Source organism: Homo sapiens, chromosome 2 (assembly GCF_000001405.40).
Source record: "Homo sapiens chromosome 2, GRCh38.p14 Primary Assembly".
In the NCBI taxonomy this organism is placed as follows: Eukaryota; Metazoa; Chordata; class Mammalia; order Primates; family Hominidae; genus Homo; species Homo sapiens.
Window position 1 is genome coordinate 220067356 of NC_000002.12, and position 18043 is coordinate 220085398.

The 18043-nt window shown below is 42.7% G+C and overlaps 1 long non-coding RNA gene across 2 annotated transcripts in view, besides 1 other annotated feature; it reads left to right on the forward strand.

The window, feature by feature from the left end:
* The first annotated feature begins 356 nt into the window (after positions 1-356).
* The window catches only part of LOC105373893 (uncharacterized), a 428255-nt gene continuing 410568 nt past the window's right edge, over positions 357-18043 (forward strand). The window contains exons 1-3 of one of the 2 annotated variants that reach the window (XR_923931.3): positions 357-495; positions 1808-1941; positions 5558-6421. This is a non-coding gene — a long non-coding RNA (uncharacterized LOC105373893). Of the gene's footprint in view, positions 496-1807; positions 1942-5557; positions 6422-18043 lie in introns of those variants that run through there. The other variant, XR_001739889.2, reaches the window with a different exon arrangement.
* Positions 13751-14291: an enhancer, noted in NCBI's record as "NANOG-H3K4me1 hESC enhancer chr2:220945827-220946367 (GRCh37/hg19 assembly coordinates)". NCBI's record gives its function as "activates a minimal SCP1, AML or CMV promoter by ChIP-STARR-seq in naive H9 embryonic stem cells {active_cell/tissue: H9 hESC(naive)}" and the evidence as "EXISTENCE:reporter gene assay evidence [ECO:0000049][PMID:30033119]".

Sequence of the window (18043 nt, forward strand, 5' to 3'; positions counted from 1 at the left end):
TGGACAAATATTAGGATTAGCGTTAAACTGCTATTACAAATAAATCCCTGAATTTCAGTAGCTTAACACAATAATTTTCCTTTACAACATAGCTCAGTTTGGTTTCAGGACAATGATATCAAGGATGGGGTGAGTGACAGAGGTGGGGCCTCTGTTCCACATGGAGATTCAGGGACCCAGGCTGATGGAAGACTTCTACAACATACAGCTTCCAAGTATACCTCTGATGTCAACATCCAGAGGGAGGGAGTGAAAAGAGCATGGAGAAGTGAGTTTGGGAAGTTTTATAATTCTGGCTTAGAAGTTACATGTGATTATTTCTGTACCCATTTCGTTGACTAGAACTGAGTCTCAGAGACACCCAGGACTTCAGGGTTGACTGGTAAATGTAGCCTAGCTGAAAGTCAGGAAGAAAAGGAATGGAATGTCTGATGGATAGCTTGCGGTCTTTGTCACAGACACCAGACTATAGAAAGTATGATTCCCATTTAACAGGTAAGGAAGCTATAACTTGTCCAAGATAACTCAGCTAGGAAGAGAAAGGATTTGGGGGTACAGGGAGCCCTGGGACCTCCAAAAATTAATGATTAAGGCACTGCAGTAATTATAATTGCTATTTATTGAGCATTGTGCTTTTTTTTTTTTTTTTGAGACAGGGTTTCATTCTGTTGCCCAGGTTGAAGTGCAGTGGCCCGATCCCCACTCACTGCAGCCCTGACCTCCCAGGCTCAAATGATCCTCCCACCTCAGCCTCCCAAGTAGCTGGGACCACGAGGTTCTTGACACTGTGCCTGGCTAATTTTCGTATTTTCAGTGGAGACAGGGTTTTGCCATGTTGCCCAAGCTGGTCTTGAACTCTGGACTCAAGTGATCTGTCTGCCTCAGTCTCCCAAAGTGCTGGGATTACAGGCGTGAGCCACTACACCCAGCCAGAGCATTGTGCCTTTACTTCACAATGATAGTAAAATGTATATTTTATTATCCTAGAAGAGCTAGGCAAGAAAACTGAGGCTCAGTGTTGTTCTGTGTGTCCAACAAGAACAAGGTTGGACTAGGATGCAAATGAATTTCTTTCAGACTCAATAACCTATCTTTGGCCAAACTTCTATAATGCTTCTTACCTTGTCTCCTCAGATTCAGCCCTGAATTTGTAATAGCAACTGGATGGAGGTTTGGGGAGGATTAGGTCAACTAGGTTAGCTATAAGTACATTTTGAGTACAGTTTGTCATAATTAAGTACAACTTTCTTCCTTCCACTGTTTTAAGAAAATCCTCCCATTGATTCATGCAACTTTGATTGGAAGTCTCAGTGGCAAAACGTGCATTTAAATTGTGTAAATATTACGGTACTACTTTCCCCCACATATTTGCAGTCGTTATCCTGCAAAAAATGGGGGATGGGTGTTATCATCATAAACAAATGTTTATTGAGCACCTTATTCCAGAGGAGCTCATGATGCTGGGAAATGGGAAAGCATACCATAGGATCCCTGTTCTCCCCAGACTTACAGAGGGACTGGGGAGATGGAGCATGGATATATAAAAAGATAAATGATAACACAGGGTGGAGTTTGCTAGGAGCCAAAGGACCAGTGCCAATAATAAGTGCTATAGGATGGCTGGGAGATGGTTTTTGAGCAGCTGCTAATGTGCTGGCCTCAGTCCTGGGTGATTTCATGTTATCACATGAATCCTCCAGGAACTCAGTGGTGGGAGTAATCGCTGTGGATTGGGATGGCCAGAACGTCTTCAGAGGGGAGGTAAGACTTGAGCTAAGTTGAATTATATGGTGATATTTCTCAACAGTAATGAAAGCTGGCTGAGCAAAAACCCAGAGCATAATTTCTCACTGGCTGGCTGCTCCAGATAGTAATAGCTTCAGTGCCCTTCAGAGTGGAATTTTCCTGAGCCTGTGAAGATGTGTGAGGTGTACCCAGCAGGTAAGCATTCTTCCATTTGCCTTCCACCCGTTGCTTTAATTAAATGCACATTGCTTCTCCTGGTTAGTTCTTCCAAGACTCCAGAAGTTGTGGAATGTCACTGCAGCAGCTGAAATGGCAGTTCACTGAGTGGAAATGATGCAGACAGGGAAAGGGATCTTTTAAGTCTTTTTTTTTTTCACATTGGTGATGGGGGTGGAGGCAAGGAGAAGGTGGGGTTGGGCCATCGGACCAAGGGAAAGAATGATTCTGGGGAAGATTTCCTCTAATTTCTGAGTCCTTTTCTGATGTTATGGCTGCTGCTTTTTTTTTTATATATATATAGAATTCAGTTAGATTTGTGGCAGGAGGCTCCTAGATTTACACTCTTCCTCCAGGAATTAGGGAATCACAGAAAAAATAGCTACAGTTATGGAGGGCTTTCTATAAGTTTAAACCCTCCATATGGATTATTTTATTTAATCCTTACAATATGCAGGTACATTTTACTGATGAGGAAATAGAAGCCTAGAGAGGTTAAACAAGTTGCTCGAGATTATATTGCTACTAAGAGGTTCAAAGAAGAATTGGAATTTTCAATTTTCTTTAAACTTTAAAAAATGTAACAACTTTGGGGCCCAGGCGTGGTGGCTTATGTCTGTAATTCCAGCACTTTGGGAGGCTGAGGTGGGCGGATCATGAGGTCAAGAGATTGAGACCATCCTGCCCAACATGGTGAAACCCCATCTCTACTAAAAAAAATAAATAAATAATAATAATAATATGTATATATATAAATTAGCTGGGTGTCGTGGTGCGCACCTGTAGTCCCAGCTACTCGGGAGGCTGAGGCAGGAGAATTGCTTGAACTGGGGAGGCAGAGGTTGCAGTGAGCCGAGATAGTGCCACTGCACTCCAGCCTGGGCAAGAAAAGCAAAACTCTATCTCAAAAAAAAAAAAAAGTAACAACTCTATTAAGACATAACTCATATACATTACAATTCACTCCTTTAAAGGATATAATTCAATGGTTTTTAGCATATTCAGGTATGCAACTGTTACCACAATTTTTAGAAAATTCTCATCTCCCCCAAAAGAAACTCTGTACCCATAGCAGCCACTCCCTAGTTCTCCCCAACCCCTTGCTCCCCTTCAGCCCTAGACAACCACTAATAAACTTTCTGCCTATGTGAGTTTGCCTATTTCATATGAATGGAATAATATAACAGGCAGCCCTTTGTCACTGGCTTCTTTCACTTAGCATAATGCTTTCAAAGTTCATCCATATTACAGCATGTGTCTGTACTTCATTTCTTACTATGGCTGAATATTCTATTGTATGGCTATACCACATGTTACTTAACCATTCATCAGTTGATGGAAATTTATGTTGTTTTCATTTTTTTGCTATTATGAATAATGCTGCTATGAATATTTATGTATTTTTTTTTCTGTAGGCGTATGTTTTTATTTCTCCTGGGTTATACCTAGGAATGGACTTGCTGGATCATAGGGTAACTCTATGTTTAACCTTTTGAAGAACTGACAGATTATTTTTCAAAGTGACCGCACCATTATAGATTTCTACCAGCATAGAATCTTCCATGTAAACCACTCACAAGGTCATTTATATCTTGATCACTTTTTCTTTCTCTTTTTTTTTGAGACAGAGTCTCGCTCTGTCGCCCAGGCTGGAGTGCAGTGGCGCAATCTCGGCTCACTGCAACCTCCGCTTCCCAGGTTCAAATGATTCTCCTGGCTTAGCCTTCCGAGTAGCTGGGACTACAGGTGCCCACTACCACTCCCGGCTCATTTTTTGTATTTTTTTAAATAGAGACGGGGTTTCACCGTGTTAGCCAGGATGGTCTCGATCTCCTGACCTCGTGATCCGCCTGCCTCGGCCTCCCAAAGTGCTGAGATTACAGGCGTGGTTGGTCACTTTTTATGCACACAAAATATCCATTAGCTTACTATGGCTCTAATAAAAACCATTGAGAAACTGGAGAATTTTCTTGATGAGGAACCTTAAAGTCGAACTCCAGGTTTGGAAGCTTCAGTGCCTTTTGATTTGAAGATGGTAATTGAGCTAAGTGCTGATGAGGTAAATGATGAGAGCTGCCATATTTGTATGTCCCTTCATTTCCTGAGGCATTAGGGAGATTTTCTGCATATTTCTAGAACTGAGTGGTTTTTGGCAGTACATATGCAGGTGTGGCAATAGCTCAGGATTGTCTATTATTCTGAAAAGCCATTGACATTTGCTGAATGACAACACACAAAAGACGCATAATATCTATGCATATGTCATGCTGATCTCTTGAAATGTTAGGTACTCTGGGCATCAATTTACTGGGCATCAAATTTACATCAAATTCACATAAACCCAAGGCCATTCTTTTAAGAGGAAATAGGAGAAAGGAAACCCGGAAAGTAATTCTTTTTTGCTCTTTGCAACAGATATGTGAAAGGGGCCTAAAAGGTGATTTTCAACAAGGTATACGTGAATGAGTCTTGAGCCTTTCTGTCTGGGAATGGAGGAGCATTTGCTGAGTGTTTATTCTGAGTGCACTGGGCGGATGTGAGAAGGGAATAAGCCATGGTCTCTTGCCTCTGGCAGTTTCTAGCCTGTGTTACCACATAATAACTCAATGCTAAGCTGTGACTGTAAGTGCTACAGGGATCGAGGGAAGGGAGAGGTGGAGTGTGCAGCAGTGGCAGCTAAGAAAGCTTACACAGGAAATGGAACCAACCTTACAGAAAGCCAAGCCTAGAACCGAGTTAGGCTGGAAGGAATGGTGAGACTATTCCAGGTGGGGTCAGTGGTACCAACATGACAGAAGCCACAATGTATTTAGGGGTCAATGGACAGATGGGCCTGGCTGGAGCAGAAGATATATGGGAAACTTGGAGTGAGGAAAGGTTAGAAAGCAGAATAGCATCATGGAAGGAGCATGGGACAGGGAATCTGGACATATGGATTCTGCTTTTAGTTTTGCTACTAACTAGTTTTCGATGCAGGCTCTGTGATTTAGTATGGGGCTTCTGATTCTTAATCTATAGACTATGGGAGCTGAACTAGTCCTAGTTCTCAAATCTGATCTTATATGACAATTCCCCGAGTGTTTATTTAAAATACAGACTCCTGGGTCCATCCTGTGAATGTCATGTTTCCGTAGATATGAAGTGTGGTCCCAGGGTCATGGTTCTCTTGCTGCACAGTGGAATTATTTGACTTGTTTTTAAAACTAGGAATGCCTCAGTTCCAACTCCAGAGATTCTGATTCGATGGGTCTTGGGAGCAATGTAGGCTTTGGGAATTTGCAAGGCTCACCAAGTGATTCCCAGGGGCAGCTAGGCTGAGAAGCACTTATCTCTGGTGGATTTGGTGCCCCTGGTTGATTCCAAAGTACTGGAGGCCTGGCTGGAGACTCCATGGGAATGGAAGGTCTCCAGATCTAATCCTAACTCTGAAGGACTTTGATTCTGTAAAAAGCGTGCTGAAATCAGGTGGTGAAGGGCCTTAAATGTTAGAATGATTTATATCACATCTTGTTTTATAGGGAGCAGGAAACAAGTAAGATGTTTGAGCTGAAGAGTAGTTTAACATGTCTCACCTTTGTACATTTCATTGTTTTAGGGCATGAGAGCCACCACCGAGGAAGAAAAGAGAAAACTGCCTCTTCATTCATGCGTTTATCTGGAAAGGGTGACCACTGCCAATTCCGTCGTGTGACAGGATCTAGTGTCTCTGCACAGCATAAACAGAAACAGTCAAGGGGGAGAGGTGGAATACAACCCGAGGCCGCAGGGTGGTATGGTGTGGTTGTCACCGAAGTGCAGGCATCCTTAACCAAAGGACAGGCCACACTGGTGGGCTGGAGAGGACTGCAGGCAGGGTGGATTTAAAATTATGTTTTAAATTACATCCTCTTTTCAATTCTTTTAATCCTCAGAAGAATCAAGGCAAGCCTCAGTTAATCAGTAGCATGGTTCATGGTTTTAATGGTTCTCTGGTATTTGCCAATCTTCCTTTTTTTTTTTTTTTTTTTTTTTGAGATGGAGTCTTGCTCTGTCACCCAGGCTGGAGCGCAGTGGTGCAATATCGGCTCACTGCAACCTTGGCCTCCAAGGTTCAAACGATTCTCCTGCCTCATCCTCCAGAGTATCTAGGACTACAGGTGCATGCCACCATGCCTGGCTAATTTTTGTATTTTTAGTAGAGATGGGGGTTTCACCATGTTGGCCAGGCTGGTCTTGAACTCCTGACCTCAAGTGATCCACCCGCCTCGGCCTCCCAACAATCTTCCCTTTTGACAAAGAAGCAGCAGGATCCCCAGGCTTAGAGCCCCAGGTGGCTAACATTATCTAGTTAGAATTTAGTAATAGGACATCCCCTGCCTTGTCTAAATCCATCTGGCCCTTCCCCTCTGGGGGGTTCAGATAGGGAGGATTGGGACCTTCTATAAATTTGCTTCTTGAATAAACTTGACTGAAAACGTTAGTTTTAAGAGAAGGTTAATAATAGCACAGATGGAAAGGGGAGGCAGAAGGAAAATGGATCTGTGACAGGCTGTACAAATAAATGACCCTCAGGAAACACTGGTGGGGTCTCTCCAGAATCTGGACTAGAAGTCGGAAACCCCGGTCAAGGTTCCCAGTGCTGGTGGGCTCCTCCTGTCTCTAGACTATCACAATAACTGTTGGGGTCTCCACCTAACAATCTTTAAATTTCTTTTCAGGTCTGAAATACTACATTTCCATGACAATATTTCTAAAATACAACCCCTTCCCGGAAGACTGATCATATCTGGTTATTGACAAGGGGTCATGCTGCCACCCTCTCTGCTGCCACTGGCTGCTGGGAGCTTGTGGGCAGCTCCCAGGGACTAACCCTGGCATTATTTCTGTGGGACCACCAGCTCCAGATTTCCTCAGAAATTGGAGGGCAAAAACATTTTAAGGAATGTGGGCCCTGCAGGCTAAAACATCAAAATATTTTAAGAGCAAAACAAAACAAAACGAAATGAAACAAAACAAAGCTAGTGAAAACCAAAACAAACCAAATAGCCTTGTAGTTAACTGAATTTTCTCCACTTTTTCAATTTTTTTTTTTTTTTTTTTGGTGGGGGAATGTTTTTCTTTCCTAAAAACGTTTTGTCAGGGAACAGATGAGGTATTCTATTAAAATGCATTTGCTGCCACTATAGGGATGCTTCATAGATCAACATGAGAAATTCCTCCCCAAACTCCTCCCCCCACCAAAAAAAAGTGTCAACAAGTATCGTTCCATAGATGATTTGGGGGAAGTTTTGTGGTTCTCTAATCTGTGATTTTCAAATGGTGGTGTGTATAAGACTCACCTGGAAAGCTTGCTAAACACGAAGATCCTTGTCTCAGCCTCAGTAATCTGATTGCACAGGTGTGGGACAGGGTCCGGGAGCGTGGGTCTTTTATGAGGTTCCCAGGTGGTTTTGATACTGATGGTTTAAGACCACCATCCAGGATCCTGCACTGAGGGAAGGTAGGTGATGCAGTCTCTATCCAGGCCCATCCTGAGGGTGGTGGCATGAACCTCCACCCCTGCCCAATTTTCACTCAGGTTTCAGATTAATATCAAGGGCAACCCTGATGTGATCAGTATCTCAACAACAGAGGGTAGGATACAATTTAAGGGCATAGTTGGAGAAGTTCAAAAATCTATCTTTAAATCCCTGTTTGCTAGCTTTGTGACATTGGGCAGTAATATGGTTAGGCTTTGTGTCCCCACCCAAATTTCATCTTGAATTGCAATCCTCATAATTCCCACAATCCGCATGTGCCAAGGGAGAGACCTGGTGGAAGTAATTGAATCATGGGGGCAGTTTCCCCCGTGCTGTTCTCGTGTTAGTGAGTTCTTACGAGATCTGATGGTTTTATAAGGGGCTCTTCCCCGGCTTCACTTGGCACTTCTTCCTGCTGCCTTGTGAAGAAGGTGCTTTGCTTCCCCTTCTCGTTCCACCGTGATTGTAAGTTCCCTGCGGCCTGCCCATCCATGCTGAACTGTGAGTCAATTAAAGCTCTTTCCTTTGTAACAGCATGAAAACAGACTAATATAGGCAGGTTGCTTGTATTAGATAACCTTCCTGTCTCGACCTCCTCGTTGTTAAAATAATCCATAGAAAGCCCCTGGGTTGAGGTAAGCATTCAACAAAAGTTAGCTCTTATTATGGTGGTAGGAGTTAGGATATGGGAGGCATGGTGAAAGTGAAGTTTGTACACAGAAAGTAACAAGTGTAGGTGAGTATGTCAAAATATTGGAAGCTTTGTGCACAACCCTTGTTTGTGGGAGTGTAAAACGGTGTAGCTGCTGTGGAGAACAGAAAAACAAGTGGAGCTTGGATCCCAAGGGTTGCAGATGACAGGGGTGAAAGATATCCCATCCTGTCCCAGGCCAACTTCTGTGGCTCCCTGGTGCCCTGAGTGGCAGTAAAAGTCAAATGTCACATGGGGGTGGGGTCCAAAGCTTGGAGCCTGAGCAGGAGAGAAAAGTGGTTCTCAGCTTGGCATGCACACGATGGAGGTGACTCAATGTCAAGTTTCTGAGCATTTGAGGGCACCTGGTGACATAATGGAACTCATAGCCAGGTGTCCCATCTCCAAGTCCACCTTAACTATATCCTGGGCTGTTCTCAACACACCAGCCCCTGGGCAGCCCCCAGCACTTGGGGTGTTGGCTAATGCCTCCTAGAAATGGCTTTCTGGGAGTGACTCAGCAAACAAGGGGTTGTTGCTTCCAGAGGGCCAGCAGGGCTTTGTTAGTAGATTGCTCTGGAGCCAACACATATGCTCTAGTTTTTTCCAGGTGCCTATCAAAATTTGTGCACAAACAGTGCAGGCATGAGGTATGTGAAATAAATTCCATATCGTTTTCCTGTATGCAAAAGCCCTGTACCTTGACTTTGACAGAGACAGCAAACCCTTCTCCCCAGTGATGTGTCTGAGTTTCAGAGCATGAATTGAGCCTTTTTGAGCTCTTAACAATGTTTTGTTTCAGTCAGTGGTAAAGTCTGCTGACAAGGAAATACGAATAAATTTGAAGAGTAAAATAAGGGGGAATTTTCCTGTATGGAAGACAGAAAAATCAAGGTAGTCAGTCTAGCTGCTGATACCTCCCGACATTGATGATGGAGAGGAGGAGAAAGTCGGCTCTCGAAACTTACCGATCCGTTTTCCCTTTCCCTGCATCCTTTTTCTCTTTTCTCCAACCGCTTACTTCCACGAGATGATAAGGAGGAAGGGAACAAACACAAGAGCAGAGCAAGGAATTGTCTTTTTGGGGATAAATCTCTGATTTTAATCATATTTTGAATTTCTAAAGTTACCTTTCAGTCTTGGGATCCAACTTTATAAATATCTCCCAAGTAGCAGAAAAACAATTACTTTGACCTTCAAGGTGGGCTGTTAATTTAAACACCAATAATGATAGCTTTTCTTATATTTAAGGCACAGGTTGTTACAGTGTTCAAACAAACCGGGAAGTTTTGTCTGTACAACCCTCCTCTCTTTGACGCTGTTCTCTGGCCACCAGGATACGCTCTTTCTCTGCCTCCTCTCATCTTGAGCCGTTCTTTTCTGCCCACTGTCAGCCCGACATGAATCCAATAAGGGGCCTCCCTCTGTGTCACCAAACAAACTCCTGATGCAGGGGAAAGATGCAGAGCTCTGACTCCAGCCAATAATAACAATGTTGTAACATGTTCTAGATTTGCCTCTTAGGCACTCCGTTTGCTTTCCCCACCTGCCTTTAATTTTTGCCCTTACCACAAACCGACGGAGATATGCATCAGACTTATCAGATGAGTGCGTCCAATAGAACTGAAACGTTCAGTCTGTCTAATTTAGCAAATTCTAAATAGCTACCTTCAACTAAATTCAAAGAATATTATTGTTCCCATGTTCCTTCTTTAAAAAACAAAAACAGTTCCTTCGGTTAATTGAATCAAGATAGCCACTAAGAGAATGTCGCAACATATTTTTAAAAAATGGAAATGCAAGAAAATGGAAAGTTAACAGAATATTTTCAAGTGGCAATTTTAGTTTTCACAAAGGCTTAGGTCGGTTGTATTCTGTTGTCATTGAAATATCCCTGGTTTAAACGTAAGTGCTTTAATAACTAGTTAAGGAAAGAAAAACTTTCTTTCCCAGGCAAGCAGCAAAAGAAATCTTTCTGTTAAATTCCTTTGATTACAATAGTTCTTTGTTAACAGATTGTAACTTTGCCCAGGATGGGGAGATAAGCTCCTAAAAGCGAGACGACTTGTCCCTCCTGGGAAGAGAAGCTGTTGACCCTGAAGATGGATTGAAAGGAAAATACTTAATGCCTAGCACCTAAACTTTGTTCTTATTTGTCTTTACTGTCTCTGCCTGAGAAGTCTGACAAAATCAACATTAGTGTGGAAATAACGTAAAGCCAAAACGTTCTCCAGCAGGGGTGGATTTTACACCCAGATGGAAAACATGATTCACTCTTGTTGCTTGGAAACCCTTCCCAAATGGGAAAATATCGTCATCATGAGGTACGTCCCTGCCACTCAAAGCAGAAGTTTGGCAATGATGGGATTCCTTTGATTAAGTGGGATATCAAGAGGAAAAAAATATCCACCTTGGAAGACCTAAATCGTCTAGCCTGATTTAATAGCGATCAAGTTAAACAAGTCACCAAATCAGCAATTACCATGGGGGAGGGTCGTTAATGGTGTTTGGGTCTCACGTAGGAATAATTTCATCAGAAAGGACCAATTATTTTGTGATAATGTTTTAGGTCATAGTTCACATAATGAAATTCTAGGGTGCAGAATTGAGGAGGAACTTGAAAGATAATTTCATGTCCTCCCATTTTACGGTCAAAGAAACAGAGGCTTAAGCTGTTTTACCCAGTTGGTCAGGATTAGAATCCAGAGCTACATATTTCCAGGCCAGAGGGGCTTTCTGTCTCCTGCCACTGCCTTGTTATTTTATTAGTGGAGATTTACAAATGAGTACAGATGTACCCCAACCCCATCTTGTGAATGCAATTCCCCCTCCTCTGGGTACCCTCCTATCTGTGTCTCCTTGCAGTTCATCGATTGTCATGGTCAAGGGAAAAGGAGCATTGCTTTAAGAAGACAGAGGTAGAAAATGAAGGATTAAGAAAGGTTTAGAGGAAGAAGAGAAGGAGCCTGGGGAAATGGCTGGGCCAGCTGGGGCGGGTTTCACTGCACCCAAAACAGGGAGGAAGAGCCCTGCTGCCCTTCTCTTTACCCACCCTGACGCCAGCACTGCTTGCTAAGCATCTCTTCCACACTCCATCTCCATTTCCCCCTACAGTGGATGAGTGTTTTCATTCCTGTTATGCCTGAGAAAGTTCCAAAAATACACAGAGAAAGTCTGGTTATCTGGTATTTAGAGTTGGCCCCAGAGCAGAAACTACTTTGGAAAGGAGTTTGTTTTCAGTGTCTGTTTGCCAGGACTCAGCATCTTTGGGGAGATTTGGAGTTTGAAATAAGCACTTGAATATTTATGTTTTGTTCCAGCCCAGCTCAAGCATTTGAGTTTTTTTCATTGGCTAGGCCCAATTGATTTAATGATAATACCGCAGGTAAGAATCCTGGCTGGACTGCTACTTAACCATGGGCAAATTTCTTAATCACTATAGGCTCTGATGTTCTCACTGACAATAGGAATAATAATGATAATAATAATATACATCTCCTGGGGGTTAATGAGGGGTAAATAAGATAATGTTACTCAGGGGGTTACCACAGTGTGTGGCATGCAGTTAGAGGGCAGTAAGCGGTGATTGGCATTGTCATCCAGTTGTAGTCATGCACCAGGTCTTGACATACATCTGTGCTTAACACAATGTTAACCTGAATTAGGGGCTTTCATAGAGTAATCTAGAATTTTTTTTTCCATTTGTTTGAGGATATAGCTATAAGTTTAATTTTCTCTAGCTACTTTGGAAGGATCTTGGCCGAAGCAGAGTCTGGGCATACCAGGCTGTACCTGCTGGTGATGAACTGGCTTCAAGCTGAACACATCATCGGAGAGGCAGGGTGGTAGGCATGGGGAGGGAGGGGTCAATCATTTGGTTCACAGTGAGGACCTGTGACAGGGACCACTCGAGGTGCAAAACTACTTCTGCCCAGGGATCTTTGTTTCCAAAGTATATCACCTGGGACAGGGGCCACTCCTAGTGCAAAACTACTTCTCCCTGGGGATCTTGCATGGCAGGATTATAAAGTTCATGAGACTCTTTCATGCTGAGAATTCTCAACTCCAGTATGATGTACACAGAGAATGTAACTTCCCAATTGTAGCATCAGGGATTTCTAGGAATCCCTGAATCCCACTTTATCATGCCTATAATAAGACTTGGAATTACACCAATTTTAAATTCATATCCTGGTGCCACCACAGACTAGTTTTGGGACTTTGGCAAGTTACTCAATCTCCTTGAGCTTCACTGAGAATGCTTTGGTGGAAACTGATTTGTCACGTGACTTGCCCATATGAGGGTTGGATGAAGAGGTGGGAAAGGGAACACAATGAAACACTTTGGTAAATATTGATGGTGTTGGCATTGACCTTGGGTAGTAGGAGAGGGGCACAGTCAGGACAGTTGGCATAGCCAGAGTTTCTGGAATTTCTTGAGATCTCTAATTTTGCAAGAAAGCTAGAGCCAGGCAGGTGTCCTAGTAGTTTTTCAAAAAAGTGACAGGTGGATCCCAAATACAAGTTGGACTTACGTGTTTGGGTTTGAGAGTCATCATGACATAGGAAAAATTCCTCGACTTCTCTGATCCTTAGTTTTCTTGTGTTTAAAAGGGGATAATGACTACTTCTCTGCTCATTCTGCAGTGTGTCGGGAGACTCAAGGTCATTTGTATGAAAGTGTTTTGTAAAGTTGCTTATGTAAGTGAAACAAATTCGTAATATTTTCTTACTAAAGGAGATGACAGAGTAATCCATAGCTGACTTCCTTCTATCCTTTTTAATACTCCCCTTTCATTCTCCTTATCACCACTTACTTGAGGAAGGGGGCATTGTGCTATTTAGTGCTATATAAGAAAACCAGTTGAAGTGATGAGATATTTAGAAGACTTATCACCATGCAAGAGAAAAAAGGTTCCCATCTTAATTATATTAGACAAAAGGTAAATAAATGATGAATTTGTGTTTGACATTTGCGGTCAGAAGTGGGCTTTGCTTTTTCCTAATAATGCAAAAACAAAATGACTTGAAAAAAAATTAGCTGATTTGATGGGTTATAGCACAGATTCGGGGTTAGGGAGGGGGATGGTGATGGAGGCTTGCAATTGAAAAATCAGCCAGAGAGATTAAAGTCTGGAAAATGCCTATAGAACCTATTCAATTCTGCCAAGGAAATTTCCATATCAGAACAGACCACTTGACCATATGCATTATAGCTTTGCCTGCCCCTGGTTTGAACTTTTATTAGGTTATTCCATCTGGCTCCTGGTCACAATTAGAAAGTATTCAATGTGAGAAATCTCTGCAGTCTGAGGTTTTAGTTCACAGAGAATTTTGATAATTCCACTTATCTTTATTGGGCTGCTCGTAAAGAGATTGAAGCTCTTTAACCAAACACTGTCTCTAAACCCATATGGAAAGAAGATGATGGGTAAGCGATTAAGATGTTAAAATGGAGGAAATGCAGGATCTGTTAATGGTCAGAAGGAAGATGTCAGGTGGTGTACTGAGCTATTTGGCTGCTTGTCTGGGATACTTAATGAGTGGGGTGTGTGTGTGTGTGTGTGTGTGTGTGTGTGTGTGTGTGTGTGTGTTTATGCACATGCATGCATCATAGCCAGTTTAGGTAAAATTGTGATTGAGGCTATTTCTCATCATTCCTTCCTCTTCCTTTTTGTATTTTCACTGCTTCTCCCTCCTAGCAGGAGACTCCGATATTTGATTGCTCTTCTCCCTCTCTCCTCTAACCTTTCTCTTCAAGTCTGCCTTAGGCACTCTCCTGCATACCAAGGGTAATTGACCATTAACAGCTCAGGGTGGTATTAGTGGGGGAAAGGGAGATCTTTGCTATTTTAAGTTTATGCTTCAAAGAGACTCTTCAGCTGCAAGGGGTGGAAATGTTGACTAGGATTTCATGGCAGAGGTCTAGTGCTTGGAAAAGTCACTTTGCCCAACCACCGGAGGATGTTTTACCTGGAGAAGTGTTTGCGAAAGGGAAAAATGAGAGCTACCTTTAAAGACAGTAACAGATACGAGGGAGATGACTTTGGTGTTGGTGCACTGCACCGAGTGGAGGGAGCTGGGGATGTAAACTCTAAGGGGAGAGATTTCGTCTGAGCTCATGAGTGGGAAGGGTCCCCCACAAGGTGAGGCAGTGAGCTCCGAGACCCTGGCATGGCTGTGGAGGGCATTCTTGCAGTGAGTGGGGAGGCAGGGCGGGACACATTAAGGCCTCTGGAACTCTAAGTACTTCTCGGACCAGTTGTCGGGGGGAGGTCATCCTATAATGTGGAGTTGAAGTCAACCTATATTTTTAACAGAAAATGCAGTTTTCCTTTACTCTTTTGTGTTGTGAAAGCAATATCAGGTTTTTAAGAAAGTTTCGGCTGTGCCCCTTTTCCTGCCAAACGCTATTTTTTGCTTCTTCCTCAGTGCTTTGTTCTATATTTTTCAAGTGGTGCTTGGATAGCTCAAATTTGCTAATTTAGACTTTCACAATTTCCTGGAGACCGAATAAATTCCTGCCTTGCAGTTCTCAAGTGCAAGGTCGTTCAGATGACATGAGATACAGCAGAAAAATGGCATTGTTCTCATTTTCAATAAACATCTCCGATTAGTATTCATTTGAGATATTAAGAGTGCCGAGAGTAAACACCAGGGTTTTATCCTCTCATCTAAATGGGCATTAGCTCAAGGTATGTCCCTTCTGTTTTGTCATGATTCATAAATCACCTGCCTGTAAAAATCAAAGGCTGACAATATTTGGTTACCTGTGGCAATGATGGCCTTTCTATCAATGACATTTGCCTTCCTGCCCTGGGTTCTTTGTAAGTACTGGAGCCTTTCTCCCTTCACCTTTGACCTGGTCTTCCTGTCCCAGCATAAACATCTCCTCTTTTTAATTCTGACAGACGCCTATAGAAGAACAGTGAAACACTACAAGACTTGGGTTTCTTTGTGTTTGTTTGGTTCTCTCTGCAAAGTGGTCTGGCTGAATATAATCAATGTTATTCCTCTGCTTTGTTGAATGAGCTTCGAGTAATGATGTGCAGATGCCAAATGTGACATGTCTGGGGACAAGGTAGTTTAATTCTAGTCTCATTTGCAGAGATGACTTGCTATCATTAGGGGCTTTGTCTCCAAGAAGCCAGCTGACAGAAAGAGAAAGCCAGCCACTGCTCGGCAATGAGGCAAATGCATGCTATAAAAATGCTGGAGCATTCACTTAGCTATAGACTCCAAGTAGGAGCATTTGAGAACTGAGTTAAATCATTGTGGTCTTTCTTTAGTTTTTTCTTAAATGACAGTTATGAGTCTGTCTCTCAGTTTGTACCATTTGATGTAGGGGGTTTGGAAGGTTGTATCAGTAAAGCAGACCATATCAAAGGGTCTTGAGCCTGGGAGTTTGGGCCGAAGCTCAGCCTATAAATACCTTGTTAGCATTCTGATTATGGAGTCTGATGAGTGGAAGGTCTATGTGTTGATCCCTCGGCGACCTCCTGGCATTAAGTGCCATTAGTTAGGAATGAAGAGTCTTTCCTTGTCTTCAGATGCCGGCACTGGAAATAAATCCTGATGAAATTATTTGTATTAATCATTTTTTTATTGTGATGAAATATACTTAACATAAGTTACCACTTCAACCATTAAAAATGTGCAGTTCAGTGGCATTAAGTACATACACATTGTTCTGCAACTATTGCCACCATCCATCTCTAAATCTTTTTCATCATCCCATACAGAAGCTCTATGCTTATTAAACAGTAACTCCCATTCTCTCTTCCCTGCAGCTCAAGGTAGCCACTTATACTACTTGCTGTCTCTATGAATTTGTTCCAGGTATTTCATATATCTGGGAGATCATGGATATCCCCCTTTTACCCCCATTTAATCACTGCTTCTCTCCTTAGAGATGTCCACTGCCAGTAGTGTGGCGTCGCCTTCCAGCTTCCTTTCATGCATTTACATCCTTGTATCCCTCCTTATACACATTTCTTAAAAAAAAAATCAATGGGCACTCAGTATTCTAACTGCTCTGCAATTTGCTGTTTTTATGTAATATGTCTTGGAAATCATTTAAGTTCAAAATTCCCTCTTTTATTGTTTTCATAGTATTCCATAATACCACAATTTATTTAAATTGCTCTCAATTGATGGCCATTTGAATTGTCTCCAGCTTTGTATTATATTGTACTGTACGATAAATAGCTATAAACAACTTTTAACATCCTCCTCTGTGCACATGAGCAAGTACTTTTTAGCGCATGATTCCTGAAAGTGGATTGCTCAGCCAAAAGATGTACACTTAAAATTTTTCATAGATGCTGCCAAATTGTTCTTCAAAAAGGCATCACTAAGTTACACATTCCCTAAATGAATGATAGTGTTGCATTTCCTGGCATCCATTTCAGCATTTGATATTATTAGTCTTTTAAACTTCTGCCAATCTGACAAGAAAACCTTAAAACTTGGGATTCACATTAATCTACTACTGTAAAAGAAGAATCTAAAGAGGGAATAGGAAAGAGCAGAGGGGTGGAAAGAGAAGGGAAGGATAAAATAATTGTTCTGGAGGTATTGGTACCTTCTGGGGAATGAGAGGCAAGATTAAGGCCAGTAAGAACAGGTATTCCTGAAAGCATTTGCCAGCTCACCTCACTTCTGCTGCATTCACAAGCCATGTGGCCTCTTGCTGTGTGGTTGAGGAGTGATCCAAGGTAACTGTGTCCCCATGAGTTGTCCACAGTTGCCTCTGTCCATAGAAGAGGCCAACATGTGCTTGCTCTCACAAGAACAATGCTTTTTGCTGTCCTGAGGCTTAGCTTGAATCTGCTTTTCCTTCCTCACTGAAGGTTTCGTACACTTCCCTGTGATTAGGTGTTCATGATCTCTGTTGATGAATAATGTTAGAAGTGGAGACTGGCGCATGCTCAGAATGGACCCCAAGTAGTCTGCAGTCCCTTTGCCCAAGACAACTCCTTTCACCATGGAAAACTGATCCTTGTTTCTGGAAACACAAATCCAGGCTGGTCTTGAATATAGTTGTCCTTGTAGTCTGCAGAAGTGAGCGAACTAGAGTCCCACAGCACAGTCCCTCCCCTGGGACCCCAGGGCCACTCTGGTCACTCCATGTGATTTGGATGGGGCTGTTCACAAAGAAGAAATGGGAGGAGATACAACAGGGCCCTTTCTCTATGTGCCTGTCCTGCTGATTCCACTTCCAAAATAATTCCCAATTGTGCCCACTCTTCACTCCTGCTACCACCACCCCACTCCTGGCCACCACCATCCCTCTCTTGGGTGATTACAGTGGCTTTTGAGCCCATCTTCCTTGTCCCTAAGAGTCCTTCTCTCCAGCTAACCCAGTCTCTCCGGAGCAGTAGGAGTAATGTTAGGTTGAAAAATCAGATCATATCCCTCTGTGCTCACAACCCTAGAGCTTTCTATTTCTTGCAGGATAAAGTTCAGAATCTTTAATATGACCTTCTAAGCCCTGATTGCACATGACCTTGTCTTGCCTTCACCTTCTTCTCACCCTCAGCCATTCTCTTCCCAACTCCTACTGGTTTTCTCACCATTGCTGGGATGCTCAGCTTCAGTCTCAAGGCTTTACACACAATGGTCTCTCTGCCTGGGGCTCTCTTCCCTCAACTCTTCATGTGCCCAGCTGCTCACCTTCAACTTAATTTGAAGGCCACTTCCCCAGAAAGACCTTTCCGAAGTCCCACTGGTCCAGTTCTTTTTCTTCAAAGCACTTGTAACAATGCGGCTAAATGTTTGTCTGCTGATTGTCACTGACTGTTCATAATTGTCAATAATATCCATCTCTCCTTCTACAGTGCAAGCTCAATGAAAGCAGGAAATGGGTACATGATAGTCATTGTTGCATCTT